A 27664-nucleotide genomic window follows, 5' to 3' on the forward strand; every position below is an offset into this window, starting at 1 on the left:
AAAGTAATTAAGCCATAAAATATAATTTGGAAATGCTCAATTGGTCTGAAACTGTGTCAAGCATATTCAGGTGTTGGCATTAGGAATATATTCCAGAATGAGAGTGCCACATGTTTTAAAGGCCTAGGAAAGCAGTAGATAATTTATAACCTAAAATCAAATTTTTTAAAAAATGTGTTTTTGTTAGAATGGGCAGTGGGTTTCTTTTAGCAAATAACAATTTTGATTAAACAAATTGTTGTATATTCATATTACGGACTACTAGATAACTATATTATGGGCCACTAGATAACTATAAGAAATAAATAGGAAAGCTCTCTATGTACTGATATGATCTTTAAGATATAACAACTAAAAAAGCAATGTGCAGAATATGGTATGTTGTATGCTTACATTTGTGTAAAGAAGGAGACAGAATATTTATAAAAATCCGTTGCCCTATACAAGACATATCTCCGGAAGGATACCTAAGAAACTTTAACACTCATTTCCCCTGTGAAAGCATTTCTCCTCATCTAAAGCAGAGATGAAAGGAAGAACCTATGCTGAATGCATCTTTTGAATTTGGAACTATATGAATATTTCACATATTTTAAAACAAATGAAGACTTTATAAATTAAAAAAGAAAAGAAAAGAAAAAAGTTCTTAGCAAATATTGACAAGCCATTAGTGCAGTTTCCTGAGAAAACCTCTGAGCGTCGCTGTTGGTCAAAAGAACGAAGAGAAGCGTTTGGGAGCCTCTTAGAGGGGAACTTCCTGCACAAACCAACCACACAGAGAAGGCCAGTATAGATTCGGAAACAGAAAACAAAAGCAGGAAAAGTGACCTTAGCCCGGATTCTGCCATCCCCGGAAGGCTTATTCCTCCTATGGGCAAAGGAGCAAAGGGAGCCAGAAGATGAAAGCGAGCTCAGGGAGGTGCGGGCTGGTGCGGTGGCTGCAGGTACTGTTGCCCTTCCTGTTGTCTTTGTTCCCCGGGGCTCTCCCAGTCCAGATCCGCTATTCAATTCCAGAGGAGCTGGCCAAAAACTCGGTCGTAGGAAACCTCGCCAAGGATCTGGGGCTCAGCGTCCGGGACTTGCCAGCCCGGAAGCTGCGGGTTAGCGCGGAGAAGGAATATTTCACAGTAAACCCAGAAAGCGGAGACTTACTTGTGAGTGACAGAATAGACCGAGAACAGATATGCGGGAAGCAGCCTCTGTGTGTTCTGGATTTCGATACTGTCGCTGAAAATCCACTAAATATTTTCTACATAGCAGTAATTGTGCAGGATATAAATGATAATACCCCGCTATTCAAACAGACTAAGATTAATTTAAAAATTGGCGAATCCACTAAGCCAGGTACAACATTTCCACTTGACCCAGCCCTGGATTCAGATGTTGGTCCTAACTCACTACAAAGATACCACCTTAATGACAACGAGTACTTTGATCTCGCTGAGAAACAGACTCCAGATGGTCGTAAATATCCTGAGTTGATTCTAAAACACTCTCTGGACAGAGAAGAGCACAGTTTACATCAATTGGTCCTCACAGCTGTGGATGGCGGAGACCCACCTCAAAGTGGCACGACCCAAATCCGAATCAAAGTCACGGATGCCAACGATAACCCTCCAGTGTTCAGCCAGGACGTGTACAGGGTCACCCTGAGGGAGGACGTGCCGCCGGGCTTCTTTGTGCTTCAAGTGACAGCCACCGACCGGGATGAAGGCATAAACGCAGAGATCACCTACTCCTTTCATAATGTGGACGAACAAGTGAAACACTTTTTCAACTTAAATGAAAAAACAGGAGAAATCACGACAAAGGATGATTTGGATTTTGAGATTGCAAGTAGTTACACTCTGAGTATCGAAGCAAAAGATCCTGGAGATCTAGCAGCCCACTGCAGTATCCAAGTTGAAATTCTTGATGACAACGATTGTGCACCTGAAGTTATTGTGACTTCAGTATCTACTCCCCTACCGGAGGATTCGCCACCAGGAACAGTGATCGCCTTGATAAAAACGAGAGACAGAGACTCTGGAGAAAATGGAGAAGTTTACTGCCAAGTGTTGGGAAATGCCAAGTTTATTTTGAAATCTTCCTCAAAGAACTATTACAAACTAGTGACAGACGGCGCTCTGGACCGGGAGGAGATCCCAGAATACAATCTCACCATCACAGCCACCGACGGGGGCAAGCCGCCCCTCTCCTCCAGCATAATTGTCACCCTGCACATCTCCGACGTCAACGATAATGCCCCAGTTTTCCAACAGACTTCCTACATGGTTCACGTGGCAGAGAACAATCCTCCTGGCGCCTCTATCGCTCAAATCAGTGCCTCTGACCCTGACTTGGGCCCCAGTGGCCAAGTTTCCTACTCCATCGTAGCGAGCGACCTGAAGCCGCGGGAGATTTTATCCTACGTGTCCGTGAGCGCGCAGAGCGGGGTGGTGTTCGCGCAGCGCGCCTTCGATCATGAGCAGCTGCGCGCCTTCGAGCTCACACTGCAGGCCCGCGACCAGGGCTCGCCCGCGCTCAGCGCCAACGTGAGCCTGCGCGTGTTAGTGGGCGACCTCAATGACAATGCGCCACGGGTGCTGTACCCCGCGCTGGGGCCTGATGGCTCCGCCCTCTTCGATATGGTGCCACGCGCCGCAGAGCCCGGCTACCTGGTGACCAAGGTGGTGGCGGTGGACGCAGACTCAGGACACAACGCTTGGCTGTCCTACCACGTGCTGCAGGCCAGCGAGCCCGGGCTCTTCAGCCTGGGGTTGCGCACGGGTGAGGTGCGCACAGCGCGTGCCTTGGGCGACAGGGACGCGGCCCGCCAGCGCCTGCTGGTCGCTGTGCGTGATGGAGGACAGCCGCCACTCTCCGCTACGGCCACGCTGCACCTAATCTTCGCGGATAGCCTGCAAGAGGTATTGCCAGACCTCAGCGACCGCCGGGAGCCCTCTGACCCCCAGGCAAAACTGCAGTTTTACCTGGTTGTGGCCTTGGCCTTGATCTCAGTGCTCTTCTTCCTCGCGGTGATTCTGGCAATCTCCCTGCGCCTGCGACTCTCTTCCAGGTCAGATGCTTGGGACTGTTTTCAGCCTGGTCTCAGCTCCAAGCCTGGACCTGGGGTTCTCCCCAATTACAGTGAGGGTACATTGCCCTATTCCTACAACCTGTGTGTTGCCTCACAATCAGCCAAGACAGAGTTCAATTTTCTGAACATAACCCCGGAATTGGTTCCCGCGCAAGATCTCGTCTGTGACAATGCCTCTTGGGAACAAAATACAAATCATGGAGCCGCTGGGGTCCCTTTTGCCTCAGATACTATTTTGAAGGTGAGCTTTAATTAATTTATTTTCACTTCTGGTTTTATTGTTTCACCTAATTTGGGTAGGAAGTTCCACTGCGTATTTCTTTGTCTGTGAGTTAGATTTGGCCAATGTTGTGCCTTAATTGTCTTAATCTTATCTAACTGAATTTTAAGTGTTTTCTCTCTGAAGTGTGAGATTTATTTACCCATGATTGCAAACCTTTATCACATGAGATATTGCACTGTATTTCTTTTTCTTCCTCATCTTTACATTACTTCTCTCTGCAGATTTGTTGCTATTGAGACTTTAGGCAATTAGTTTCACCTTCAGGCTCTTTGTTATTCAAATTTTAGTTTTACTTCCTCTTAGAATCATAATACTTCAGAGTAAAGAGAGTCTTCATTTTAGTAGGCTTTGGAAATTGGGAAACAAAGAAGAAAGACTTTTGCATAATGGCATGGCTTGTTAATCACAGGGCATGGGTAGGACATTGTCCCATTGACTTGAAGACCAACACTCAGTAAGCTAAATGTCTTGGAATCACAAATGTATTTCTAAAGGACAGGCAATGTTTGAGGTCTGAGGTGTCTGCTAGAAAGAGTGCATTTAACAAATGTGAGAAATCATTCTCTAACATGCATTTTAACAAATTGCTCTTAAGAAAAACTACACATTGAGAAAAATCTTACAACCTATGTTCACATCATTTTCTACAAAATATTACTTAAAACTTTGCTTTTGAATTTCCTAATTATATAGAATTTTTATTTTCTTAGTTTTCTATGAAAGTGTTATTAAATAAAATGACTTTCTGAAATGTCCATTTTTTTCAATCAAGAGGTTTTTCTATTTCTGTTGTCATATAAAGATGATAGCAGTAAATATCTGTCTCAACATAGAAAGGTCACTCAGTACTTCTCGACAAGTATCTGCTCATGCTTTCCTGCATGGATGATGAAATAAAACCCCATCCTCCACAGTTACTATACTGGTTGTCACTGGAACTACAAATATTTGAACATGGTAATAGAAAAACATAAAAATGCATAGTTAACCCAACTCAAACGCTGTCTGAGATAGTGGAGAGACTTTCTCAAAGTCCTCACAAGTAACAAAGATCTTTATTTCTTCTGCATATGACAGCTAATATAACTTACATAAATCAGTAGGCCTGTTTGGAAAGGTGCATGGAGAACTGGGTTTGTTTCCTTGGTATTCTTATATGCAAATAAGCACGTTTTCCTAAATTTATCCTAATAAGGAGATGAAATCTTGAATCCTACAAAGGTAAGAATTTGAATGTCCTAATTTAATGGACTAAATATAGATAAGAGGTAAATAAAGGACATAGGCTCCCCCGATGACGCATTAAATAAAATTTTTGTAAGGTATTGAGATCTAATAATCATATTGATCTCAGGGATTGTGGAAGTCTTGCTATTCAGAATTAAAGCTGAATTAACGGTCATAAACAACGCTACACAGTTAAACATTAAGGATATGGCAACATTATTAGAAATAAAATTATAACTAAACTTAGGAGAAATAAAAATGGAATTTGATGCAGTCACTGGTTAGGACTCTGAGTGTCGCTGTTGACCAAAGTGGGAAAGAAGCTGCCGCAGAGGCGACCCGACTCTGCTCCCTCCATACTAAACACACAGACCAGACAAGCTCCTACGAAAAGCCAACGCTCCACGCCCATTTTCGTCAGGGAATATGTACCCATCGGCTTTAGATAAATAAGGAAACAGCAGGCTGAACCAGAACTAAGAGAAAATTGGGCAGAGAGAAGGCAATGGCGAGTCCACCTAGGGGCTGGGGCTGCGGAGAGCTGCTGCTGCCCTTCATGCTCCTGGGGACGCTGTGCGAGCCAGGATCCGGGCAGATCCGCTACTCGATGCCGGAGGAGCTGGACAAAGGCTCCTTCGTCGGCAACATAGCCAAGGACCTTGGGCTGGAGCCCCAGGAGCTGGCGGAGCGCGGAGTCCGCATCGTCTCCAGAGGTAGGACGCAGCTTTTTGCCCTGAACCCGCGAAGCGGCAGCTTGGTCACCGCGGGCAGGATAGACCGGGAGGAGCTCTGCGCTCAGAGCCCACTGTGTGTGGTGAACTTTAACATCTTGGTTGAGAACAAAATGAAAATTTATGGAGTAGAAGTAGAAATAATCGATATTAATGATAACTTCCCGCGTTTCCGGGATGAAGAGTTAAAAGTAAAAGTTAATGAAAATGCGGCTGCAGGGACACGGTTAGTGCTTCCCTTCGCGCGGGATGCGGATGTGGGTGTGAACTCTCTCCGGAGTTACCAGCTCAGCTCCAATCTGCACTTCTCTCTGGATGTGGTAAGCGGAACTGATGGACAAAAGTATCCGGAGCTGGTGTTGGAACAGCCCCTAGACCGCGAGAAAGAGACTGTTCACGACCTCCTCCTCACAGCTTTAGATGGCGGAGACCCGGTACTCTCCGGCACCACGCACATCCGTGTTACGGTCCTCGACGCAAACGACAATGCGCCCCTGTTCACCCCATCCGAGTACAGCGTGAGTGTTCCAGAGAACATACCTGTGGGCACTCGGCTGCTCATGCTAACCGCCACGGATCCAGATGAGGGAATAAACGGGAAATTGACCTACTCTTTTCGCAATGAAGAAGAAAAAATTTCGGAGACTTTCCAACTTGATTCCAACCTGGGGGAAATCTCAACTCTACAATCACTGGACTATGAAGAATCCAGATTCTACCTCATGGAAGTGGTAGCTCAGGATGGAGGCGCTCTTGTTGCCAGCGCTAAGGTGGTGGTCACAGTACAGGACGTGAATGACAATGCCCCCGAAGTGATCCTCACCTCTCTGACCAGTTCGATCTCTGAAGACTGTCTTCCCGGAACTGTAATCGCGCTGTTTAGCGTACATGATGGTGATTCTGGAGAAAATGGTGAGATTGCATGCTCTATTCCTAGGAATTTGCCTTTTAAATTGGAGAAGTCAGTTGATAATTACTATCACCTATTAACAACTAGGGACCTGGACAGAGAAGAGACTTCAGATTATAATATCACTTTAACCGTCATGGACCATGGAACCCCGCCCCTCTCTACAGAAAGCCACATCCCCTTGAAAGTAGCAGACGTTAATGACAACCCACCCAATTTCCCTCAAGCCTCCTACTCCACCTCTGTCACAGAAAACAATCCCAGAGGTGTCTCTATCTTCTCTGTGACAGCCCATGACCCCGACAGCGGCGACAACGCTCGAGTCACCTACTCCCTGGCTGAAGACACATTTCAGGGGGCGCCCTTGTCCTCCTATGTATCCATTAACTCTGACACCGGTGTCCTGTATGCTCTGAGATCCTTCGACTATGAGCAGTTGAGAGACCTACAGTTGTGGGTGACAGCCAGCGACAGTGGGAACCCTCCACTTAGCAGCAACGTGTCGCTGAGCCTGTTTGTGCTGGACCAGAACGACAATACGCCTGAGATCCTGTACCCCGCCCTCCCCACAGACGGTTCCACGGGCGTGGAGCTGGCGCCTCGCTCCGCAGAACCTGGCTACCTGGTGACCAAGGTGGTAGCGGTGGACAAAGATTCAGGCCAGAACGCCTGGCTGTCCTACCGCCTGCTTAAGGCCAGCGAGCCAGGACTCTTTGCGGTTGGGCTGCACACGGGCGAGGTGCGCACAGCGCGAGCCCTGCTGGACAGAGACGCGCTCAAGCAGAGCCTCGTGGTGGCCGTCGAAGACCATGGCCAGCCCCCTCTGTCAGCCACCTTCACGGTCACCGTTGCCGTGGCCGACAGGATCCCTGACATCCTGGCTGACCTAGGCAGTATCAAGACCCCCATTGACCCTGAGGATCTGGACCTCACACTCTATCTTGTGGTGGCAGTGGCTGCAGTCTCCTGCGTCTTCCTGGCCTTCGTCATCGTGCTGCTGGTGCTCAGACTGAGGCGCTGGCACAAGTCACGCCTGCTTCAGGCTGAAGGCAGCAGGTTGGCGGGTGTGCCCGCCTCGCACTTTGTGGGCGTGGATGGGGTTCGGGCTTTCCTGCAGACCTATTCCCACGAGGTCTCCCTCACCGCGGACTCGAGGAAGAGTCACCTGATCTTTCCCCAGCCCAACTACGCAGACACGCTCCTTAGTGAAGAGAGCTGTGAGAAAAGCGAGCCTCTTCTGATGTCTGATAAGGTAGATGCAAACAAAGAAGAACGGCGAGTTCAGGTTAGTTTTCTCTTTCGGTAAGGATGACCAGAACATTTTCATTTGTTTCCTTTTTCATGTTTCTGTCATATTCAGAATCAGCTAGTTATGTAAATAGTGGAACATTATTTGCTGTATTGGAGATTAATTTTTTTTATATAATTCATGCTTTCTCCATTTGTTTTCAAATTCTGTTTTGGGAAGTCTAGCTGATATCTGTAGACTTAAGTGAAACAAATACCTTAAAGGAAAGTGGTTAAATATAATCATTTTACCCAAATATTTTGTTATATTGGAACTGCAGTTCTATTAATAGAAAAGATGTTTTATTTATTCAAATTGTTAGATATATTGTTCTCTTTTGAGTGTCTGCCTAGACACCATTAGTGAATGTGTTTTGGAAAGGATAATGTATAGGACTGATATTTTAGTCTACCTGAAATTTGTTTAAGGAAATAATTTACAGTATTTACATAAATCAGTGGAAAGGTACAGAGAACTTCTGGGTCATAAATATCAGAAAAGAGGCCGGGTGCGGTGGCTGACGCCTGTAATCCCAGCACTTTGGGAGGCTGAGGTGGGCGGATCACGAGGTCAGGAGATCGAGACCATCCTGGCTAACACGGTGAAACCCTGTTCTACTAAAAATACAAAAAATTAGCCGGGCGTGGTGGCAGGCGCCTGTAGTCCCAGCTACTCGGAAGGCTGAGGCAGGAGAATGGGGTGAACCCGGGAGGAGGAGCTTGCAGTAAGCCGAGATCGCGCCACTGCACTCCAGCCTGGGAGACAGAACGAGACTCCGTCTCAAAATAAATAAATAAATAAATAAATAAATAAATAAATATCAGAAAAGTAGATAAAATTTATATTAATGATAACATGTAGCATTCTAAAGTCTGGAAAGTTTGTGTTAAGCCATGTAGTTATTGGATATGTGGGCTTGTTGAGAGAAGAAATCAGTGTAAAGGAACCTTAAGGTTGGGCTTCGTTCTGTGATGTAAAGCCTCCAGAGAGTTACATACTGCTGCACTCAATAAATGTAAATATGTCACACACCTGGCATCTTCTGTTATAGATAAACCCTTTACTTATTAGAATCAATACCTACTGCAATGTTAGCGTTTCTTTAAGTGTAGGTGCAATTCTTCTTTATTACTTGAGTTTAAGGTTGTATTTGAAAAAAAAAGAACTCAACTTAAAGATGGTTCAAAATTTTAAATTTCATATCTAACGTATGTGCTCATCTTAAATTAATAGATTTGTCTTAATGAAATACTGGCCTATGTGCCTCAAATTCCAGGAGGATGTGTTATGTAATGAAAGAACTACTATATTTCCCTTCTGCATCTGATTTGCTGAAGATGATTTTCAGATGTTTCTTATTAAAATATTCTTAATCCTTCAAATTTTGTACTTTTAAAACCTTGAGCATCAGCTTCAAATAATGACTAAATAAGGGGAAAAGGTAATAAAATATTACAAATGGGATAGTAAGCTACATTACTCAACCACATGAAAGGTTAATTGACACATTAAAGAACCTAAGACCACTTGATTTTTATTTTTTAAACACTGTTAAAGAGCATTCAAGTATATCTATATCTATATACATATACACACACATATATATACACACATATATATACACACATACACACACACAAACACACATACATACACACATGGACATTCTGACCAAAATGTAAAATGTACAAACTCACCGAATAGTGAATGCATCCAAAGAGTAACAAGAGAATCTATACAGTAGGTGTCGACATTATTCACTCCTATGTGAAAACTTGCTTTTCCATTTTTTTTAAAAGAAAATGTTATATGCTTCTTAGGGTAAGGTGTTTGGGAAAAAAGTAAAGGTTATAGATTTGGGTACATTTCTTCTGAGTTAAATGTTTTGTGCAATGGAAAAATATCTTTAAACCCTCTATAAACTACTAACAGACTATAAAATGCTTGATCCATACATTTTGAATGTATGTACTGTATATACCATATACTTTTAAATATCTGAATCTTTAGTTTTATATGTGTTCTGAAGAATAATTTTTCATACTAATTGAAGTGTTCATACAATGAACACTTGGCATTGTGTTGGAAGGCACTTGCTTTGGAATGTTTTGGAGCAAAGTCTTGAGTCAGTTATATTTTTGATGTTTGTATAAAGGTGACAATGAGTGTCTGTCTAGAATTCTGGTTACTGTGAGTAGTTTAAGATGCTATAATGCTTTTCCACTATAAGGTGAATTCGGTGTGGAACTCATTGCTTATTGCTGCACACTTGCCTAGTTTTAGAGTAACAATACATTATGTAGGCTAAAGATAATTTCTTTAGGAAGATTTTCTGGTTTGAAAATGGAATTAAAACTGTAAGACACCTGTCAGAAACATGGAAAATGGCATGTTATTGACCAGGGAAAAGTGTAAATAACAAAAAGTTAGGATTATCAGATGGTAAACTGGGGACCAAGGAAAAGTGGACAGGAAGATTACTTATATAATTAAATAATATAATTATAAGGACTTACAATTCACTCCCCAATCCTAATAACGCATCATTGTTAGGCTACTTGAGAAGAAACAGTACATTTCAGGACAATTGTGATGTAGTATGAAAAAACATCCTTTGTAAAAGTTTTTCATTTGGGCCAGGGTGGTTCATGACTATAATCCCAGCAATTTGGGACGCTGAGGTGGGAGGATTGCTTAAAGCCAGGTGTTCTAGCCCAGCCTGGGCAACATAGTGAAACCCCACCTCTATAGAAAAAAAAAGTTTTCAATCATACTTATTTAATTAAAAGTAGACACTTGGAAACAAAGGAAAAGAGACCCTCTTGCTTTTTACTATACTTCTATTTTATAAGGTCAATCATTTCCTCATTACCTTTAACTTCTTTTGGGGGGAGATAATAAAGATAAAAGAGAAGAAAGTGAAACATAGAATAAAACTAAAAGCTATGACATTATAACTTTTAGAAGTTAGAAGTAAAGGAAATAGAATGCAATAAGAATACACGTGAAGCTGATATTTCAAGCCTCTTTATACTACGTCTTCTGCCATCACCAAAAATAGCTTCCATTTGTATGATTTTCTATGTATTATTTTATTTGGCCCTCATTTCTACTAGAGTAAGCAGAGAAGATATTATTATGACCATTTTATGAAAATGGAAACTAAAAACGTGACGGGATTGAGCAAGATTATCTCTGCCCTTTGACAAGTAAAAGGTACTTGATTTGGATGGATAAAGCTCAAATTAAAAGAAATAACAGACTAAAGATATAGTAAGTATATTTAATGTTTTTTAAAAGTCCTTTTAAAATGGGAAGAAAGTATCACTATCAGTACACTGCCGATTTTTCTCCTAACTAGCTCCTTATTTGGAGCTGATTTAGTCACCATTACTGCAGTTCTGCAGCAGAGGCGCCGGGTGCCGCTCTTGGCTAGTGCTGTGCAAAATATTGGCTCCTCCCGCTGCAGCCAGCTCGGAAGAAAAGTGCACTCTCTATCAGGCTTCCTGCAGCGGAGACACCCATTAGAGAACCCAAGCACAAAGACAAAGCAAATAGTTGGTCCTGCTCGGAGAACTCTTGGGATTATTTAAAGATCTCCTCTCCTCGGATTTAGAAAGGCAAAGGCGCAGAGAGCGGGATGGGAAATAGCTCCGGATGGAGGGGCCCAGCAGGGCAGAGGCGAATGCTATTTCTCTTCCTGCTCTCTTTGTTAGACCAGGCTCTCTCCGAACCGATCCGCTACGCTATTCCCGAGGAGCTGGACAGGGGCTCGCTGGTAGGGAACCTCGCCAAGGACCTGGGGTTTGGCGTGGGGGATTTACCTACTAGGAACCTGCGGGTTATTGCAGAGAAGAAATTCTTTACCGTGAGCCCCGAAAATGGGAACTTACTTGTGAGCGACCGTATAGACCGAGAGGAGATTTGTGGCAAGAAGTCGACGTGTGTTCTGGAATTTGAAATGGTTGCTGAAAAGCCTTTAAACTTTTTTCATGTAACTGTGCTGATCCAGGATATTAACGACAACCCACCGACCTTTAGCCAAAATATCACTGAGCTGGAAATCAGCGAACTGGCTCTCACTGGAGCCACATTTGCCCTGGAATCTGCGCAAGATCCTGATGTAGGTGTCAATTCGCTGCAGCAGTACTACCTCAGCCCTGATCCGCACTTCTCTTTGATTCAGAAGGAGAACCTGGATGGCAGTAGGTACCCAGAGCTAGTACTGAAAGCACCCCTGGACAGGGAAGAGCAGCCACATCACCACCTGGTCCTCACAGCTGTGGATGGGGGCGAGCCCTCCAGAAGCTGTACCACCCAGATCAGGGTAATTGTCGCAGATGCAAATGATAACCCCCCAGTATTTACTCAGGACATGTACAGGGTCAATGTTGCAGAGAACCTGCCCGCTGGCTCCTCCGTATTAAAAGTGATGGCCATTGACATGGATGAGGGCATCAATGCCGAAATCATCTATGCCTTCATCAATATTGGCAAGGAAGTGAGACAACTGTTCAAGCTGGACAGTAAAACGGGGGAACTCACCACTATTGGAGAACTGGACTTTGAAGAGAGAGATAGCTACACAATTGGGGTGGAAGCAAAGGATGGTGGACATCACACTGCATATTGTAAAGTACAGATAGATATTTCAGATGAAAATGACAATGCCCCGGAGATAACCCTGGCTTCTGAATCCCAACATATACAAGAAGATGCTGAGCTGGGGACTGCCGTTGCCCTGATCAAAACACATGATCTAGATTCTGGATTTAATGGAGAAATCCTATGCCAACTAAAAGGAAACTTCCCCTTTAAAATCGTTCAAGATACCAAAAACACATACAGGTTGGTGACAGATGGAGCCCTGGACCGGGAGCAGATCCCAGAATACAATGTGACGATCACAGCTACCGACAAAGGCAATCCACCGCTCTCCTCCAGCAAGACCATCACTCTGCACATCCTTGATGTCAACGACAACGTTCCCGTTTTCCACCAGGCCTCCTACACCGTGCATGTAGCTGAGAACAATCCGCCTGGAGCCTCCATTGCGCATGTCAGAGCCTCGGATCCCGACTTGGGACCTAATGGCCTTGTCTCCTACTACATCGTGGCCAGTGACCTGGAGCCGCGGGAGCTGTCGTCCTACGTGTCCGTGAGCGCGCGGAGCGGGGTGGTGTTCGCGCAGCGAGCCTTCGACCACGAGCAGCTGCGTGCCTTCGAGCTCACTCTGCAGGCCCGCGACCAGGGCTCGCCTACGCTCAGCGCCAACGTGAGCCTGCGCGTGTTGGTGGACGACCGCAACGACAATGCACCGCTGGTGCTGTACCCAGCTCTGGGGCCCGAAGGCTCTGCGCTCTTCGATATGGTGCCGCGCTCTGCAGAGCCTGGCTACCTGGTGACCAAGGTGGTGGCGGTGGACGCAGACTCGGGATACAACGCCTGGCTGTCCTACCACATTGTGCAGGCCAGCGAGCCCGGGCTGTTCAGCCTGGGCCTGCGCACGGGTGAGGTGCGCACGGCGCGTACCTTGGGCGACAGGGAGGCCGCCCGCCAGCGCCTGCTGGTCACTGTGCGTGATGGAGGACAGCAGCCTCTTTCAGCCACCGTCATGCTGCACCTAATCTTCGCAGATAGCTTGCAAGAGATACAACCTGACCTTAGCGACCGCCCCACTCCCTCTGACCCTCAGGCGGAGCTACAGTTTCACCTAGTAGTGGCGTTGGCCTTGATCTCAGTGCTCTTCCTCCTCGCGGTGATTCTGGCAATCTCCCTGCGCCTGCGATGCTCCTCCAGACCCGCCACTGAGGGCTACTTTCAGCCTGGTGTCTGCTTCAAGACTGTACCTGGAGTTCTCCCCACCTACAGCGAAAGGACTTTGCCTTATTCCTACAATCCGTGTGCTGCCTCACATTCCTCAAACACCGAGTTTAAATTTCTCAATATAAAGGCTGAAAATGCTGCACCACAAGATCTTCTATGTGATGAAGCCTCTTGGTTTGAAAGTAATGACAATCCAGAAATGCCTTCTAATTCAGGCAATTTGCAAAAGGTGAGTTTCTTCAAACCTTTCCTTCCATAAATATAATTGGGTTTCAATTCATTGATTTAGAGATAAAAAGAATACAGATTAAATATTCCCTGATTACATTATTTTATTGATTTTCTGGTGTAGAGTAGGGTGTCTAGGAAATTCTTTGTAGAATTTCCTGTAGAATATCTGTGTTGCAGTTGTTCTTTCATAGAAAGCCTCCTTTTGATAGTCTTGAAACTTTTCTTAATCCTAATACACTATAATCTGAAACATTTTTAATACAGTATTATCTCACACTGTCATTTTCAGACATATCTATCCAGAATTAGACCCAAATCCTCACAATTAAGTGGTTTACTTAGTTTTAATGCAGTCAATCCTAAAATATATGAAACATTATGTATATCTTAACACATTTTTAATGTAACCTGTATATAATATTTTTACTTCCCTTTGCATGTTTTTAAAAGTATACACAGATGTTGCCTATGTCAGGGCAGTTTTTAACTTCTATGCTAATCAAAAGAAATAATGGCATCTAAAATGGCAACTCTTGTAATGGGCACTGTAATGAATTGGTTCAAAATGTGTTTGTGTAGCATATGCCTGTAGTCCCAGCTACTCGGGAGGCTGAGGTGGGAGGATCCCTTGATCCCAGGAGGTAGCAGCTGCAATGAGCTATAATTGTGCCCCTGCACTCTAGCCTGGGAGACAGAGCGAGACTTTGTCTCCAAAAAAGTGTTTGTGGTTGTTGGTACCCTTACTGAAAATGGGACTAGCATAAATGGTGGTGAAATGTGATGATAATTCAAAATTTACAGAAGATTGTAATATTATTTCTGTTCCCCAAGGTCCTAAGAGATATTTTCATAAAAATGAATGGTAAACTTCAGAGAACATTTAAAATTATTCAAAATAATCTCTTACACTCTTCTAAATGCTTCATTATCTTGGGGAGGGAAATATTATGAGTGTCATCTCTGCAGATTTAGCAGAAATAAAATCCTCTGTGTGATAGTTTCACAAAACGATGCAGTATTAAGTTAGGACTCTAAGCGTCGCTGTTGACCAACCTGGGCAAGAAAATCAACGGAAACTCAAGTTACATCCTCCAACAACAAAGCAAATTAGACGGGAAAGCAGGAAAGCTGTGCAGAAATTCTGACCTGAAACGCTTCGCATCCGGTCTCTGCTTGTTGAAGGACCTTCACCGCTATTTCTGAGAAGAGCAAAAGTGATGCAGATCTGTTCTTCCTCTTCTTAATCCCAGAGAAGTTCCTAATAAGCCAGTAATGGCGCCTCCGCAGAGGCATCCGCAGCGCAGCGAGCAGGTCCTGCTCCTCACGCTCCTGGGGACGCTGTGGGGGGCCGCGGCAGCGCAGATCCGCTACTCTATTCCCGAGGAGCTGGAGAAAGGCTCCTTCGTAGGCAACATCGTCAAGGATCTGGGACTGGAGCCCCAGGAGTTGGCGGAGCACGGAGTCCGCATCGTCTCCAGAGGTAGGATGCAGCTTTTCTCTCTGAATCCGCGAAACGGCAGCTTGGTCACCGCGGGTAGGATAGACCGCGAGGAGCTCTGTGCTCAGAGCCCGCGGTGTCTGGTGAGTTTTAACATCCTTGTCGAGGATAAACTGAATCTTTATCCCGTGGAAGTGGAAATAGTGGACATTAATGACAATACACCCCGATTCTTAAAGGAAGAATTGGAAGTGAAAATTCTCGAAAACGCAGCTCCATCCTCTCGTTTTCCACTAATGGAGGTCTATGACCCTGATGTGGGAATGAACTCCCTTCAGGGATTTAAGCTCAGTGGTAATAGTCACTTCTCAGTGGACGTGCAAAGCGAAGCCCATGGGCCCAAGTACCCGGAGCTGGTGCTGGAGGGCACACTGGACCGGGAAGGAGAAGCCGTTTACCGCCTGGTCCTTACTGCCATGGATGGCGGCGACCCTGTCCGCTCAAGCGTCGCCCAAATTCTGGTAACAGTTCTAGATGTGAATGACAACACTCCAATGTTTACTCAGCCTGTCTACCGTGTAAGTGTTCCTGAAAACCTGCCAGTAGGCACACCAGTGTTGGCAGTGACTGCCACCGACCAGGATGAAGGAGTCCACGGGGAAGTAACTTATTCCTTTGTGAAGATTACAGAAAAGATCTCACAAATTTTCTGTTTGAATGTTTTGACTGGAGAAATTTCAACTTCTGCAAATCTAGACTATGAGGACTCGAGTTTTTATGAGCTGGGTGTTGAAGCCCGGGATGGGCCAGGTCTTCGAGACAGAGCGAAAGTCTTAATAACTATCTTGGATGTCAATGATAATGTACCAGAAGTGGTTGTTACATCTGGAAGCAGAACAATTGCTGAAAGTGCACCTCCAGGAACAGTAATCGCCCTTTTTCAAGTGTTCGATCGAGACTCTGGCCTGAATGGCCTGGTAACCTGTTCCATCCCGAGAAGTCTCCCATTTGAATTGGAAAAATCAGTTGGCAATTATTATCGATTAGTGACAAATGCAGCTCTAGACCGGGAAGAGGTATTCTTGTACAACATCACTGTGACAGCCACGGACAAAGGAACACCACCTCTGTCTACAGAAACAATCATCTCTCTAAATGTGGCAGACACCAACGACAACCCGCCCACCTTCCCCCATTCATCCTACTCAGTCTATGTCCTTGAAAACAACCCCAGGGGTGCCTCCATCTTCTCTGTGAATGCACTGGACCCTGACGTGGACCAGAACGCCCAAGTCTCCTACTCACTGGCAGAAGACACCCTCCAGGGGGCGCCCCTGTCCTCCTACGTGTCCATCAACTCCGACACTGGGATTCTGTACGCCCTGCGCTCCTTCGACTATGAGCAGTTGAGAGACCTACAGCTGTGGGTGACAGCCAGCGACAGCGGGGACCCGCCTCTTAGCAGCAACGTGTCACTGAGCCTGTTTGTGCTGGACCAGAATGACAATGCGCCCGAGATCCTGTACCCCGCCCTCCCCACAGACGGTTCCACTGGCGTGGAGCTGGCGCCCCGCTCCGCAGAGCCCGGCTACCTGGTGACCAAGGTGGTGGCGGTGGACAGAGACTCGGGCCAGAACGCCTGGCTGTCCTACCGCCTGCTCAAGGCCAGCGAGCCAGGACTTTTCTCAGTGGGCCTGCACACGGGCGAGGTGCGCACGGCGCGCGCCCTGCTGGACAGAGACGCGCTCAAGCAGAGCCTAGTGGTGGCCGTCCAGGACCACGGCCAGCCCCCTCTCTCCGCCACTGTCACGCTCACCGTGGCCGTGGCCGACAGGATCCCCGACATCCTGGCCGACCTGGGCAGCCTCGAGCCCTCCGCCAAACCCAACGATTCGGACCTCACTCTGTACCTGGTGGTGGCGGTGGCCGCGGTCTCCTGCGTCTTCCTGGCCTTCGTCATCGTGCTGCTGGCGCTCAGACTGCAGCGCTGGCACAAGTCACGCCTGCTGCAGGCTTCGGGAGGTGGCTTAGCGAGCATGCCCGGCTCGCACTTTGTGGGCGTGGAAGGGGTTCGGGCTTTCCTGCAGACCTATTCCCACGAGGTCTCACTCACTGCAGACTCGCGTAAGAGTCATCTGATTTTCCCCCAGCCCAACTATGCCGACACGCTTATCAACCAGGAGAGCTATGAGAAAAGCGAGCCTCTTCTGATAACTCAGGATTTACTTGAAACGAAAGGAGAACCCAGGCAACTTCAGGTGAGTTTCTTTCCGCCTAAGCGGGAAGAGTAATCTGATCTTCCCGCAACCCAACTAATCAGACAGGCTCATCAGCTAGATCGGCTGTTATAGAAGCGAACCTCTTTTGGTACAGGAAGATTCGTGATTTTGTAAAGTGGAAGACTCCCTTGTTCAGGTGAGGGTATCGTTTTTTTTTTTTTTTTTTTTTGAGACGGAGTCTCGCTCTGTCGCCCAGGCCGGACTGCGGACTGCAGTGGCGCAATCTCGGCTCACTGCAAGCTCCGCTTCCCGGGTTCACGCCATTCTCCTGCCTCAGCCTCCCTAGTAGCTGGGACTACAGGCGCCCGCCACCGCGCCCGGCTAATTTTTTTGTATTTTTAGTAGAGACGGGGTTTCACCTTGTTAGCCAGGATGGTCTCGATCTCCTGACCTCATGATCCACCCGCCTCGGCCTCCCAAAGTGCTGGGATTACAGGCGTGAGCCACCGCGCCCGGCCGAGGGTATCGTTTTTATTGGTTGACAGGAAAATTCAAGATTGTCTTTGATTAGTGCTTAGTTTTCTTAGCCCTTTGCAGAGAGTCACATAATTCTAATGTTTTTCTTTTATATCAAAAGAATGTTCTGAAGTCTTAATTTTGTGGGGGAAAATAATGCATGTCCTAGTTTTTCTTTACCTTTCTCTTCTTGGCAAACTATTTGTGTCTTGGATTGAGTACATCTCGTTTCTTAGGTTTTTTCCTACTATGTGACATTTGTAAGGTTCTTTCTTTTTCTAATGTGGGAAAAAAAATAACCTTAATTTAGGTCAGTGTTAAAGATCAAGATCTTGGTTTTAGCTAGCATGGTGGTTCACGCCTGTAATCCCACCTCTTCAGGAGGCTGAGGCAGGAGGATCCCTTGAGACCAGGAGTTTGAGACCAGCCTGGGTGACTCTGTCTCTACCAAAAAGAAAAAAAAGTAGCCAGATGTGTGGCGTACACCTGTAGTCCCAGCTACTCGAGAAGCTCTGATAGGAGGATTGCTTAAGTCCAGGGGTATGAGGCTGCAGTGAGATATAATTGTGTCACTGCACCCTAGCCTGGGAGACAGAATGAGACTTTTTCTCTCTCTCTCTCAAAAAAAAAAAAAGATTTTGTTTTTTCTCAGTGTTACTTGATAACTATAAACGACAGACGTTCATACAAGAGATCTTTCACCTTTACTACTTAGGAATCAAAAATTATTTTTGAAAAGATAAGAATCATTGGTAACTGCAGCAGGGGACACCAGATCTTTGGTGTTAAAAGACCTGAATAACATTCCTGTAACTATCTGTTATTTACTTGGGCCAGTTACAATCGCCATTATCTTCCAATTAAAATTAAGATTTAAAAGACTTCTCTTATCAGAGATAGGATCCCCCTCTGTTGCCCAGTCTGGAGTAAAAATCCACCTGTAACTGCTGCTTATAGAGTGTGTATCCAGGGCAACTTGAATCTATGTTCCTGGGTTGCAATCCTAAAGCTTGGCTCAAATAAGCTCTACTTATATTATTTTTTAAAACAAGACTTTCCTTATCTATCTGACTCAAATTCTAAGAAAATAATTTTATAACTTTTTTTCAAACTCTAAAGCAGCATAGTGAACACGTATTTGTTGACATCACCATTATTATAATTATTGGGTTGTTAACAATAACTAAGCACCGATGCTGTGTGCCTACTACAGTGTCTTTTGCATACTGTGTGCCTGATAGTATTTAAGAGTGAAAATGGCCGGGTGCGGTGGCTCATGCCTGTAATCCCAACACTTTGGGAGGCCAAGGCAGGCATCTCACGAAGTCAGGAGTTCGAGACCAGCCTGACCAACATGGTGAAACCCCGTCTCTACTAAAAATACAAAAATTAGCCAGGTGGGGTGGCATGGGCCTGTAATCGCAGCTACTCGGGAGGCTGAGGCAGGAGAATCGCTTGAACCCATGAGGCAGAGGTTGCAGTGAGCCAAGATCGTGCCACTGCACTCCAGTCTGGGTGACAGAGCGAGACTCTGTCTCAAAAAATAATAATGATAATTAATAAATAAAGAGTGAACATGAATTTTAAAACATGCTCGGTAGTGTCTGCTTACAGGACATATCTCTAAAAATAGATGACTGACTGGTGAATGGGAGAACAAATGTTAATGAGGTTCAAATAAAAATTTAAATATTTTAGCATTTTAACCCAGACAATAAGGCTTTCATCATATAGGAACTCTTTATTGAAATATTTCAAGAAAAAAGGGATTATCATTTAGAAGACTGATTAGTCTTATTTATTATGACTGAAATGTGCAAACAGAATCATTGTTTCATGAACAGAAAACAGCAGAGTTTTTGACTGTCAATGATGTTCGAATAGAAAATGGATCACTAAGGAGATAGGAGATTCTGTTATCGACAGTCTTCAAAAGTAAGTTGATGGCCCTGGAATGAATGGAGTACAGGGGATTCTCTAATTTGATGACTTGTTGAACTACATTATAGTCAAGATTTTTCTCCAGTCATGAGTTGGAAGATTCTACAATCTGGTGGTATTATAGAATGGATTGGCCACTTGTGCATCTGAATTTGTTATGAATGTGTAAGAAAAAAGCAATTGAGAAGATACCTTGAAAATAAATGAGAACCTCCTTTGTAACCTGACTTTGTCAGTCTTCTTAAAGATAACATTGAGTTGATGTGTTTTTAAATAAGCTGCTAAGAGTAATATGTGTTTTTCTGAACCAATATTGTGGTATTTACATTTAAGGAATTGTTATAGATTTATTTATTTCAAGTTTCCAAAGGTATATACCTAAACAAGAGATCTAATCATACACATCTTCAAAGCTCATTTTCTTGTATCTTTGTGATATAATTTGATAAAATAACAATTTTAAACAACTTGAATCTTGGATATTAGTCTCATGAGTTAGATGGGCTGTTATACATATGATTATTTCATAAACTCTGAAAGTGTGAATGTTATTTTACTATACTACCAATTTGGGATGTTAAACTACATCTTGAGCATTTGTTGTTATAGGGAAAGCTCACTAACTACTTTTCATGGAGATCAGGCTGGTTTATTTTATTCTCTTATTACCTGTGACCATTTCATTTAAACAAATAAAATATTTCTCTGATGGAAAAACTACCAACTTCTACTCTCACAAAAGTCATTCACTCATGTGGACTGACCAACTGTTAAACATCCTGGCAGTCATGGAATTTGCTAAGTTATGGCTAAATGAGGTTCTTTAATCCACCTGCAATACAGATCATTAATAATAAGATAGGCTATCTGAGGTTTTGAGAGTTCAGTATAGAATTTTGAAGCATCAGGAAAAAAAACTACCAAATTATTGTCTTATTCTTATTTTATGGTCTGTGAAAGCCTCTTTTTTTTTTTTTTTTTTTTTTTTTTTTTTGTCAGAGTCTTGCTCTGTCTCCCAGGCTGGAATGCAGTGGTGTGATCTCTGCTCACTGCAACTTCCTCCTCCTGGGTTCAAGCGATTCTCCTGCCTCAGCCTCCCAAGTAGCTGGGATTACAGGTGCATGCCACCATGCCTAGCTAATTTTCATACTTTTAGTAGAGATGGGGTTTTACCATGATGGCCAGGCTGGTCTCAAACTCCTGACCTTAAGTGATCCACCCGCCTCAGCCTCTCAAAGGGCTGGGATTACAGGCATGAGCCACTGAGCCCGGCCTGAAAGGCATTCATTTCTGATCAGGCTTCTGTTGAGGTGGCAATTGTCAAAGGGGAAGGAGTAAAATCTCAGAGGAGAAACATTGGAAGATACCTATATCTTTGCTTGAGAATGAAAATCTAAATGGAACTTCAAAGAACTGTTTTGTTGTTTGTTTTTTAGAAAAAAAAGTCCCAAAAAAGAAAAGAGAGAAGATAATCAATTCGATGCCCAGGAAGCCAAATAGACTTTACATAGAATTCTTTTTAATGCAACCAAACAAATGGTCAGGATTCTTCCCAATATCTCAGTCAACAATAATATACACTCTTTAAACTATGAAATGATTTCAATTTGATACAATGAGCTTATGTTAGATTTTATTAAACATATCTTGGCGGTCTAGTAAAGATCTTTAATATTTAATTTTATGATGTTCGATAACTTAGAAAATGTGAATGCTAGAGACAATGAAGCCATTTACTCCATAGGGTATGTATGCTTTGTGTTCGGAGTAGTCTATAATTTAATTTAACTAGCTCTTATTTCCTTTTCTCCAAAGAAGGTACCAAGACACTATAAATTAATTGAGACTTTTTTAAAACAGTAGAATAAGAAACAAATGTGAGATGAAACTATGAATTTTGAGGCATCAGGTAAAAATGGATCAAGACATTGAGAGCTATAACCTCCAAACATGAAAGTTTGTTTGAAAATATCTACAAGTGCTTACATTGTTTAATAATCATACACTTTGCTTGCCTCAACAAGAAGTTCAAAAGTACTATTAAACAAATAGAATTTAACTCCAGTTTACAGAATTCATCTATAATACCTCTATTAGTTCCTTTAAACAAAATTTATCTACTTTGTGAATGCAAAGATAACTATGGATTATTTTGATAGATCAAAACAGAATGTCCTTCAAAGTGTTCCCTGTATTCTGGAGCAATGCCACCAGAAAGCAGAAATAGGTTACTTAGGAGCCTCCCACAAAACGAAGTTAAGCTTTCTTAGTGTTAGTTCTGGATTCTCCTCCTGGTTCCACCAACTACTCTCCAGGACCTAGAAGAATTTACAAACCAAGACTGTTTCTTGCCAGGTCTTTATTCCAGAGCAGGTCATTCTCTTTTATTCTGCAACTATGTGAAAGGAGCTTTCTTTTCTTTCTGCTAGCAGAGGGTAGCCTCGGATCCATCAATAATTTAGTTTTACTCTATCAACATCAGTGGAGAGACGAGTACCTCTAAGGATCCTGTCAGGACAGTCCTGCATTTTGCTCAAATGCTGTCTAGAGATCCCTGTTTTCTCAATTACACTAGAATAGAGTAGGATGAAGATTTGAATTGCATACTAGGATGAAGACTTGAATTGAATTGCATAATGAAAAGAATCAGCCAATCCATTATCCAGTTTCTTATGAATTCACAGCCCAGTAGGATCTCTGCAGATTTCTGCCTTCTGTAGAAAATGGGTTGCTTCTATAGCTGATTGCTGCAGCCAAGACAAACAACGATTTCTTTCTTTTTTTCTCACAAGACTGGGAGTGAGAATATTTGGATTCCGACATTGTTCTACTACTATATAATCAATAATCAGGAACAAGGCAAGGCAATTCCCTCTTTCTTTCTTTCTTTCTTTCTTCTTCTTTTTTTTTTTTTTTTTTTTTTGGCAGAGTTTTGCTCTTGTTGTCCAGGCTGGAGTGCAATGGTGTGATCTCGGCTCACCACAACCTCCACCTCCCGGGTTCAAGCGATTTTCCTGCCTCAGCCTCCTGAGTAGCTGGGATTACAGGCGCGCGCCACCACGCCCGGATAATTTTGTATTTTTAGTAGAGACGGGGTTTCTCCATGTTGGTCAGGCTGGTCTCAAGCTCCCGACCTCAGGTGATCCGCCCGCCTCGGCCTCACAAAGTGTGGGATTACAGGCGTGAGCAACAGCACCTGGCCCCCCCTCTCATTTTTTAAACGGTTAAAATGAAGGTGTTAGACCGTCTCTAAGGTTCTATACAATCAAAAATTTATTAAAATAGGTCTATATATTTTACAACAATTTTGACTTTCTGAATCTTGCATCATGGTGTCTAGAACATATGTGTTCAATTAATACTGAATTAATTAAAATTTATATACACTGATGTAAATATTTTCTAAGTAAAATCTTTCATATGTATTTAAATAAAATTTACCTTTTTGCCTTCAATAACTGATTTTCCCATGTGCAATAACGTGTGAGTCAGTGCCCAAAAGAGTCACTTGAAAGTTGCAAGGCAAAGCAGTTTTTTAAAAATTATCTAAGATTATCAAACACCGGTCCATGAACACTGTTGCATTAATTCAGTGTCTTAAAATGGATTTTTAATTATCAGGGATATCTAGAGCAAAGAAATCTAACAGGGAAATTTTGAAAGATGAAACAATTTTCTATGAAATCAGTGTATTGTGTGCATCAATGTGGTGCAGTAACTTAGTAAGGACTCACAGCGCCGCTGTTCACCAACCAGGGAAAAATGGTGCGAGAGATCCCACAGAAACCACCGAGTTTTACAGCACAGAGAAACGACAGATTGCGATAAGCCCTCTTCCAGGCTGCACTAAACTCAAGCCTCTATCCTGCTGGATTCTGAGCTCCCCTTCCTAAGACAGAGGGGTCCACCCGGATACACCCGCATTCTGAAGCACTTCCCGAGATCGGCGCCTAAGCAAGAGAAGCAGGACGACTATGGCGGCTCAGCCGAGGGGCGGGGACTACAGAGGATTCTTCCTGCTCTCCATCCTCCTGGGGACCCCCTGGGAAGCCTGGGCAGGACGTATTCTCTACTCCGTGTCGGAGGAGACGGACAAAGGGTCCTTTGTGGGAGACATCGCCAAGGACCTGGGGCTGGAGCCCCGGGAGCTGGCGGAGCGCGGAGTCCGCATCATCTCCAGAGGTAGGACGCAGCTTTTCGCCCTGAACCAGCGCAGCGGCAGCTTGGTCACTGCGGGCAGGATAGACCGGGAAGAGATCTGCGCTCAGAGTGCGCGGTGTCTGGTAAACTTTAACATCCTGATGGAAGATAAAATGAATCTTTACCCTATAGACGTGGAAATAATAGATATTAATGACAACGTTCCAAGATTCTTGACGGAAGAAATAAATGTAAAAATAATGGAGAATACAGCTCCTGGGGTTCGGTTTCCGTTAAGCGAGGCTGGGGATCCAGATGTGGGCACGAACTCCCTCCAGAGTTACCAGCTCAGCCCCAATCGCCACTTCTCCCTGGCTGTGCAAAGTGGAGACGATGAAACTAAGTACCCGGAACTGGTGCTGGAGCGGGTGCTGGACCGGGAGGAAGAGCGGGTTCACCACCTGGTCCTCACAGCCTCTGATGGCGGCGACCCGCCCCGATCCAGCACCGCCCACATCCAGGTGACAGTGGTGGATGTGAATGACCACACGCCTGTCTTCTCTCTGCCTCAGTACCAAGTAACTGTCCCCGAGAATGTGCCAGTGGGTACAAGACTGCTCACGGTACATGCTATCGACCTGGACGAGGGAGTCAATGGGGAAGTGACATATTCTTTTCGGAAAATAACTCCTAAACTTCCAAAGATGTTTCATCTGAACTCGCTTACAGGAGAAATATCAACTTTAGAAGGATTAGATTATGAAGAAACTGCCTTCTATGAAATGGAGGTTCAGGCTCAAGATGGTCCTGGTAGTCTGACAAAGGCAAAAGTACTGATCACAGTTTTAGATGTAAATGATAATGCTCCAGAAGTGACTATGACGTCTTTAAGTAGCTCAATCCCTGAAGACACACCTCTTGGGACAGTCATTGCTCTTTTCTACCTACAAGACAGAGATTCTGGAAAGAATGGTGAGGTGACCTGCACCATTCCAGAAAACCTACCTTTTAAATTAGAAAAATCAATAGATAATTATTATAGATTGGTCACAACCAAAAACTTGGACCGGGAAACACTCTCTTTGTATAACATCACACTGAAAGCCACAGATGGTGGAACTCCTCCCTTGTCCAGGGAAACTCACATATTCATGCAGGTGGCAGACACCAACGATAACCCACCCACCTTCCCCCACTCATCCTACTCAGTCTACATCGCTGAGAACAACCCCAGAGGGGCCTCCATTTTCTTAGTGACTGCACAGGACCACGACAGTGAGGATAATGCCCAGATCACTTATTCCTTGGCCGAAGACACCATCCAGGGGGCTCCAGTGTCCTCCTATGTCTCCATAAACTCTGACACTGGAGTCCTGTACGCGCTGCAATCCTTTGATTATGAGCAGTTGAGAGAACTACAACTAAGAGTGACTGCACATGACAGCGGGGACCCGCCTCTCAGCAGCAACATGTCACTGAGCCTGTTCGTGCTGGACCAGAATGACAACCCGCCCGAGATCCTGTACCCGGCCCTCCCCACAGATGGTTCTACTGGCATGGAGCTGGCACCCCGCTCCGCAGAGCCCGGCTACCTGGTGACCAAGGTGGTGGCGGTGGACAAAGATTCAGGCCAGAACGCCTGGCTGTCATACCTCCTGCTTAAGGCCAGCGAGCCAGGACTCTTTGCGGTTGGGCTGTACACGGGCGAGGTGCGCACGGCTCGGGCCCTGCTGGACAGAGATGCCCTCAAGCAGAGCCTCGTGGTGGCCGTCCAGGACCACGGTCAGCCTCCTCTGTCAGCCACCGTCACACTCACCGTGGCTGTGGCTGACAGCATCCCCGAAGTCTTGGCCGACCTGGGCAGCCTTGAGCCCTCCGACGGTCCTTACAACTATGACCTCACGTTGTACCTGGTGGTGGCGGTGGCCACAGTCTCCTGCGTCTTCCTAGCCTTCGTCCTCGTACTGCTGGCGCTCAGGCTGCGGCGCTGGCACAAGTCACGCCTGCTGCAGGCTTCAGAAGGTGGCTTGGCGAACGTGCCCACCTCGCACTTTGTGGGCATGGACGGGGTGCAGGCTTTCCTGCAGACCTATTCCCATGAGGTCTCCCTCACCGCGGACTCTCGGAAGAGTCACCTGATCTTCCCCCAGCCCAACTATGTAGACATGCTCATCAGCCAGGAGAGCTGTGAGAAAAATGATTCTTTGCTAACATCCGTAGATTTTCAGGAATGTAAAGAAAACCTGCCAAGTATTCAGGTGAGCCCAGCCCTTCCTTTATTTCCATGAGGAATTTATTTGCATGATATTTCTCTATTATTTTGCAAAACAAATGTTTTGAAAATAGGGATTTAAAAAACTTTATAGAGGTAAAAATGAGTTTACCAGTTTCCTTCAGTGGTGACACTTTAATATAGAACACATAGGATATAGTATTTCTTTAGTGAAAGCCTATGGACAAGATTATGAATATGTGGACTATCACATTTTATAATTTCCACCTACTTTCCAATCTATGTTCCAACCTACTTTCTTAACTCATATATTTTATACATTGGAATGAATCGAGTCTTTCATATTGCACAAGGTTAGCAGGAATAAAACACACCTCAGCTGTCTTCTCAGGATTCTCTTTAGCATTCAAATATGTAAAAGGTTCTGAAAGATTTCTTCCATGTGAAGATTTTTTTCTGTGGCTGATTCTGCCTCCATGTACCTCAGCTTGGTGGTCCTAAAAAATCTTGATTGCTTCTTGACCTATTTACAGTATAATCATTTATTAATGGGGTGGTAGTAGAAGGTTGGATTTATGCCTAAAGAATGAAATGTGTGTGTATCACACTTCACTAAGATCTATATCAAAGACAGACATCAAGTCTAATGCCACACTAAAGGCCATCGGACAAAACCAATAAAATATGTCAAATAAAATGTCATTTTAAGTGTTGTAATTGGCATTTGTGACATAGGCAATTACATGTTTTAACAGAGAATTCCAGTATGTTGTTTTAGTGGTACAGCCAGATGAAGTGTGTCTGTGGGCTATCAAAGTGGGAGATTGGGGATACTGGCTTTGTTTCAACTGTCTCACGTACTCAAACCTTAGACCATCTTATGTACACAGATCCTAGACCAGTAGTTGATTTTATTTATTAGGTCTACTGAAAAATTCAGTTGGAAATAACCCAATCTGGGATTAACTACTTCCATATTCTTTTGTATAACATTTTAGTAAAGCTCAGTATATCAAGTGATTGTCATCCAGAAGGGGTGGATGACAAGGTAATCTTGATTCCAGAGACCTTTGAGTATTAATTAAAAACACACTTTTAGCCAGGTATGGTGTTGCAAGCTGTAGCCCACCTGCATGGGAGGCTGAGGCAAGAGGACAGCTTGAACCCAAGAATTGGAGGCCCACCTAGATAATATAACAAGACTCTGTCTCTTCAAAAAAAGACTCTTTTTAGACTAGTGTTGTATTTGGTAGTATTTTGCACATGATAGACTCTGTACAATAGTGTGGGGGATACATTTTTTTTTTTTGACATGGAGTCTCGCTCTGTCACCCAGGCTGGATACATTTTACAAGTTCTGCAGTGTTCACATTTCAGATGTACAATCACTTGGGGTAGAAGACAATGTTGCTGACACCAACAATGTTACTGAGGGAAGATCCTATGGCAGAACTACGGTTATAAGGTATTTTGTAAAAGAAAATCTCCTGACCAAAATTTATTAGATGCATAAAATTGTTTTTAAGCAATGGAGAGACATAATCACTAAACTCAGTGAGCTATTGCAATCAAACTTTCCAGGGATTGTTTCCTTCAATTCAG

General features: G+C 44.4%; 10 protein-coding genes and 1 further gene across 15 annotated transcripts in view, besides 1 other annotated feature; all 11 read left to right on the top strand.

Moving 5' to 3' along the window:
- The window catches only part of PCDHGA1 (protocadherin gamma subfamily A, 1), a 182462-nt gene that overhangs the window by 28723 nt on the left and 126075 nt on the right, over nt 1-27664 (top strand). The gene's annotated exons all lie outside the window — the stretch shown is intronic.
- PCDHG@ (protocadherin gamma cluster) overlaps nt 1-27664 on the top strand; it is a 182295-nt gene that overhangs the window by 28552 nt on the left and 126079 nt on the right.
- Nucleotides 1-27664, top strand: part of PCDHGA2 (protocadherin gamma subfamily A, 2) — a 174216-nt gene that overhangs the window by 20477 nt on the left and 126075 nt on the right. The gene's annotated exons all lie outside the window — the stretch shown is intronic.
- Nucleotides 1-27664, top strand: part of PCDHGA3 (protocadherin gamma subfamily A, 3) — a 169147-nt gene that overhangs the window by 15408 nt on the left and 126075 nt on the right. The window lies entirely within an intron of this gene.
- Nucleotides 1-27664, top strand: part of PCDHGB1 (protocadherin gamma subfamily B, 1) — a 162877-nt gene that overhangs the window by 9138 nt on the left and 126075 nt on the right. The gene's annotated exons all lie outside the window — the stretch shown is intronic.
- PCDHGA4 (protocadherin gamma subfamily A, 4) overlaps nt 1-27664 on the top strand; it is a 157955-nt gene that overhangs the window by 4216 nt on the left and 126075 nt on the right. The gene's annotated exons all lie outside the window — the stretch shown is intronic.
- Nucleotides 758-27664, top strand: part of PCDHGB2 (protocadherin gamma subfamily B, 2) — a 152982-nt gene continuing 126075 nt past the window's right edge. Inside the window, exon 1 of one of the 2 annotated variants that reach the window (NM_018923.3) lies at nt 758-3320. In NM_018923.3, coding sequence (NP_061746.1) covers nt 900-3320 — 2421 coding nt within the window. In that variant the 5' untranslated portion in view covers nt 758-899. Of the gene's footprint in view, nt 3336-27664 lie in introns of those variants that run through there. The other variant, NM_032096.1, reaches the window with a different exon arrangement.
- PCDHGA5 (protocadherin gamma subfamily A, 5) overlaps nt 4926-27664 on the top strand; it is a 148814-nt gene continuing 126075 nt past the window's right edge. The window contains exon 1 of one of the 2 annotated variants that reach the window (NM_018918.3): nt 4926-7515. In NM_018918.3, the coding sequence (NP_061741.1) occupies nt 5095-7515 (2421 nt within the window). In that variant the 5' untranslated portion in view covers nt 4926-5094. Of the gene's footprint in view, nt 8548-27664 lie in introns of those variants that run through there. The other variant, NM_032054.2, reaches the window with a different exon arrangement.
- Nucleotides 6965-7143: a silencer, noted in NCBI's record as "fragment chr5:140745768-140745946 (GRCh37/hg19 assembly coordinates)". NCBI's record gives its function as "represses an EF-1alpha promoter that drives an FKBP-Casp9 reporter gene in an ReSE screen in phorbol 12-myristate 13-acetate-treated (for megakaryocytic differentiation) K562 erythroleukemia cells {active_cell/tissue: K562(+PMA)}" and the evidence as "EXISTENCE:reporter gene assay evidence [ECO:0000049][PMID:32094911]".
- PCDHGB3 (protocadherin gamma subfamily B, 3) overlaps nt 11006-27664 on the top strand; it is a 142734-nt gene continuing 126075 nt past the window's right edge. Inside the window, exon 1 of one of the 2 annotated variants that reach the window (NM_018924.5) lies at nt 11006-13573. In NM_018924.5, coding sequence (NP_061747.2) covers nt 11159-13573 — 2415 coding nt within the window. In that variant the 5' untranslated portion in view covers nt 11006-11158. Of the gene's footprint in view, nt 13604-27664 lie in introns of those variants that run through there. The other variant, NM_032097.3, reaches the window with a different exon arrangement.
- Nucleotides 14655-27664, top strand: part of PCDHGA6 (protocadherin gamma subfamily A, 6) — a 139085-nt gene continuing 126075 nt past the window's right edge. Inside the window, exon 1 of one of the 2 annotated variants that reach the window (NM_018919.3) lies at nt 14655-17271. In NM_018919.3, coding sequence (NP_061742.1) covers nt 14848-17271 — 2424 coding nt within the window. In that variant the 5' untranslated portion in view covers nt 14655-14847. Of the gene's footprint in view, nt 20410-27664 lie in introns of those variants that run through there. The other variant, NM_032086.2, reaches the window with a different exon arrangement.
- The window catches only part of PCDHGA7 (protocadherin gamma subfamily A, 7), a 130234-nt gene continuing 126075 nt past the window's right edge, over nt 23506-27664 (top strand). The window contains exon 1 of one of the 2 annotated variants that reach the window (NM_018920.4): nt 23506-26087. In NM_018920.4, coding sequence (NP_061743.1) covers nt 23664-26087 — 2424 coding nt within the window. In that variant the 5' untranslated portion in view covers nt 23506-23663. Of the gene's footprint in view, nt 26765-27664 lie in introns of those variants that run through there. The other variant, NM_032087.3, reaches the window with a different exon arrangement.

The sequence above is a fragment of the Homo sapiens genome, chromosome 5 (assembly GCF_000001405.40).
Source record: "Homo sapiens chromosome 5, GRCh38.p14 Primary Assembly".
Classification (NCBI taxonomy): Eukaryota; Metazoa; Chordata; class Mammalia; order Primates; family Hominidae; genus Homo; species Homo sapiens.